The sequence below is a fragment of the Homo sapiens genome, chromosome 2 (genome assembly GCF_000001405.40).
Source record: "Homo sapiens chromosome 2, GRCh38.p14 Primary Assembly".
In the NCBI taxonomy this organism is placed as follows: domain Eukaryota; kingdom Metazoa; phylum Chordata; class Mammalia; order Primates; family Hominidae; genus Homo; species Homo sapiens.
The window spans coordinates 95764190-95767791 of NC_000002.12; the positions used below are offsets into that span (position 1 = coordinate 95764190).

At 53.8% G+C, this 3602-nt stretch overlaps 1 annotated feature.

Annotated features, from left to right (window-relative positions):
- Positions 2299-2499: a silencer, noted in NCBI's record as "peak3793 fragment used in MPRA reporter construct". NCBI's record gives its function as "represses an SCP1 promoter by STARR-seq MPRAs in K562 erythroleukemia cells {active_cell/tissue: K562}" and the evidence as "EXISTENCE:reporter gene assay evidence [ECO:0000049][PMID:32103011]".

The following is a 3602-nucleotide window of genomic DNA, read 5'->3' on the forward strand; positions in this document are numbered from 1 at the left end:
GGAAGCTAGCTGCTGAGCAAAAGGTCTTTATCACTGCAGAAAATGTGCCTGAGATTTGCCCGCCTTCTGCCTCCATCCACTGGCTCTGCCCCTCCTCTGCTGCTGGAGCCCCCTTTCCCCACCATTAGCCCCAGACCTGCAGGCCTGGATGGTTGAAGGGGAGGGGTCCACACTGGCCCCTCATGGGATCTTCCGGAACCTGGCTCCTACTGGAGGGCAGGGTATCCAGGGTGGCCCCTCCCTAAGTAAATCTTCCCATCCTGGGAAGACCTATTCTCTGTCTGGCGATGCCTGCATTTTATGGGGACCCCAAGGCTTTCCCCTGCCATGGGGTAGTGTCTTGGAGGTGGGGCCTGCTGTCTGTAAGGGCTGGTGAGCCCCGGCCCAAGCAGGGCTAGGCAGTGCCCTGTGGCTCAGGCCTCAGTGGCATGGGCGTAGCCCGTGCTGGGAGGGAGGAATGAGACTCCCTGTGTCCCAAGGCTCTCCCTTGGAGCAGGCTCTCTCTGCTCTCTCTGTACCTCTTGCCCTATCCTTTCTGGCTGCAGGTCCCTAGTGGCAGGAAATTCTGGGAAGCAGTGCAGAAAGAGCACTGGACTTGGGCGTTCTCATCCAGTCTCTGTTACCAATGGGCTGTGGGATCCAGCCCCTACCTCAGTCCTCAGCCGGACATTTGCCTGTGGCCTTGTGCAGCACCTGCGGCCTTGGCAGGGTGGCTGAGGGTGGCTGAAACCCAGGTTGTGGGAGGATCTGGAAGGAGCCTGGCTCCTGTCTCCCCATGTCCATGTCAGCTCTTGGCCTGACACCAGGAGACCCTCAGGGTTGGGGGTGTCACCCCCCCTTCCTGCAGCCTCCGCATCCTCCTCCCATGCCCCACTCTGCTTTTCTGCTGGCTGGTGCAGGAGACAATGGCTGTGGGGCATGTGGGTGCACGTAGGGGGGGCCTGCGTGGCTTGTGTGATTTCCCCAGACAGGCAGGCGTGAGAGGGAGAGGAAATTATTCTGTCTAAAATCTCAGAGATGAGTCCTTGAGAGCTGGCAGAGTGACTGCTTCCCGTCTGGGTGGGGAGGCAGGAGACAGGGTGGGCCGTTCCCAGGGGCAAGAGCAAGGCAGGGGAGGGCCAGTCCTCAGGGAGAATCCCAAGAAGGCCACAGCAGCACAAAGATAAGCCCTCATATTTCCCACGTGTCACCTGGACAAAGAGCCGTGATGCCCCCCATAACAGCCGGTCCTCACGAGAATCCAGAGAGCTCGCTAGGGAGGCAGACATTATGATAACCCAGTTTACAGATGAGGAAACGGAGGCTCTGGAGGGGTTCATTGACCTGCCTAGGTCACAGAGCCAGCCCGTTAGCGACAGAGCCAGAGCTCGAAACCCAGATCCCGAGGCACATCTTCCTCCAAAATGACCACAGAGAGGTGATGTCTCTGAAAGCAAAGCCAGGGACAGCCACCAAGGCAGACAGGGGCCGCAGTTTTGTTCAGGCAGAAAATGCCAAAGGTGCCACACTCCCACCTCACCCCCACCCGGCCTTCACCCTCAAAAGTGCATCTTTCCTGCTGGAGGAGGGGAAGGGTTGAGCTGGGAAGACATCTTCCCTCCTGTGACTCTGAGGCCCAGAGGCTGGGCTCGGCAACTCTCTGGGATTCACAGGGCGCCTCCTGCGGGACTTCTACATCTCTGCCATGACAATGTTTATCTATTTATTGCCACAGAAAAGGAGCCAGATAGCAACAGCTAGAAACTGAACCCTCCATGGACTCTCCCTCCTTCCCTGGCAGCATTCACCTGCACAGTGGGAAGTCCTGCAGTGATGGGCCAGGTGAAATGGAGTGGGCAGGGGCTCTTGGTGAGGTGTCATTATGGTAGTCATCCGGGCTGTTCACAGATGTTCAAGTCTCCTTTACGCCAGGCCCACGGTAGGAGTTGACTTCTCCATCCTTCAATTCAAGTATGGCCATGTGAGTTGCTCTTACCAACAAAATGTGGGTGGAAGTGGGTGGAATGTCACTTTCAGACAGAAGCCTTAGGAGCCCACATGTGGGCCAGCATGTTCTCTTTCCCTGTCTCTGAGATCCTGGACACACCTGTTGAGATGAAACTCTGTCAGACTGGGTCACCCAGTGACTGTGATGCCCAGAGCCCTCCTGCTGACTCAGTGGACATACTGCATGTCAGAAATAAACTTCGCTATTTTCATTCATTGAAATAGTGGGCTACTTGTTACCTACATAACCCAGCCTATCAGACTCGATGCAGTCACCAAGCTAGCCAGTAAGATCCCTGCCCAGGACTTTAGAAATAGGACCTGCAACTCTCTAGAGGGCTGGGCCCATAAGGTGTAAACCTGGCTGCTGTGTTTTGCACTGTGGGATTGTGGAAGCAGAGAGATCATTTTTCAAAGACAGAGAAGGAAGTGTTCTGCGCGTGTCTGATTGAAGAGACGCCCTGAACAGGCTAAGTGTGAGCAACAAGGCTGTTTATCCACTGAGATGCAAGTGGGCTGAGTCCGAAAAGAAAGTCAGTGGAGGGTTGTGGGAGTGGAGTTAGTTTTATAGGCTTGGAGTAGGTAGTGGAAAGTTACAGTTAGGGGCAGTTTTTTCGGGCAGGGGAAGAATTTCACAAGGTGCATAGTCACGAGGTGGGGGAGGTCACAAGGCACAATATCACAAGGTGGATGGATTAGTTGGGGCAGGAACATATCACAATGGTGCAATGCTGCAAGGTCAGTTCATCAGTTAAGGCAGGAACTAGCTGTTTCTTCTTCTTTAGTGGTTCTCCTAGTGCTCCAGGCTTTGTGACTCCAGGAGGCCTGTACGTGTGGGTCACAGGGGTCATAATGGCTTGACCATGGTGCAGCCCATTCAGAGGACCTTACAGGAAGCAGGCACACAGTAAGGAGACGTGCAGAGCCCTCCCCAGGATTCTCTCCGCTGCCTAAGGTCTGGATGCATAAAAATCCTTGTGTCCCGGGAAACTCTTCCCCTTTTCTTAGACAAGCTTGGGTTGGTTTAGGTTGCACTCAACCACGCGTCCTAATCCAGAGTAAAAGGGGACATGGGAGAAGCCTCCTTCTTACAGATGAGGCACTGAGGCTCAGAGTGGCCAGGCGCCTTGTTCAAGATCATAGGGCCTTTGAGGACTAATGCTCGCCTGCTCCCTTTCTAGTGAAATAATCCAAACAGTAAAGATCCATTGTGAGTCCTCCCTCTCCCTCTCCTCTCCTACTCTCCAGAAGTAGCCACTCTTAGTAAGAGTTTGATGGGGTTTGTATCAGACCTTTTAAAAAAGGTGTTTATCAACATATATGTATACAATATTCATACAGTTATATTGGAAAATGGGATATTGACCTCATTTTTCTGAAATTCACTTTTTTTCACTCTTCAGATTGTCAATATTGCCAAATTCTAACTGTGCCTGGTGAATCTGGTGATGTATCTGGGAGGGAAGTGGTGATTAAGGTCGGGGCCACCTTGAGACCTCGTGTGTCCAGCCTCAAAGGACTGAGGTCAGAAAATCCTCCGGGCAGGGCTGAGACTTAGAGTCAGGGTGGAGCCTTCCAGGAAGTGGTGCAGCCCCTCTGGGTGGCCGGCCCCTCTG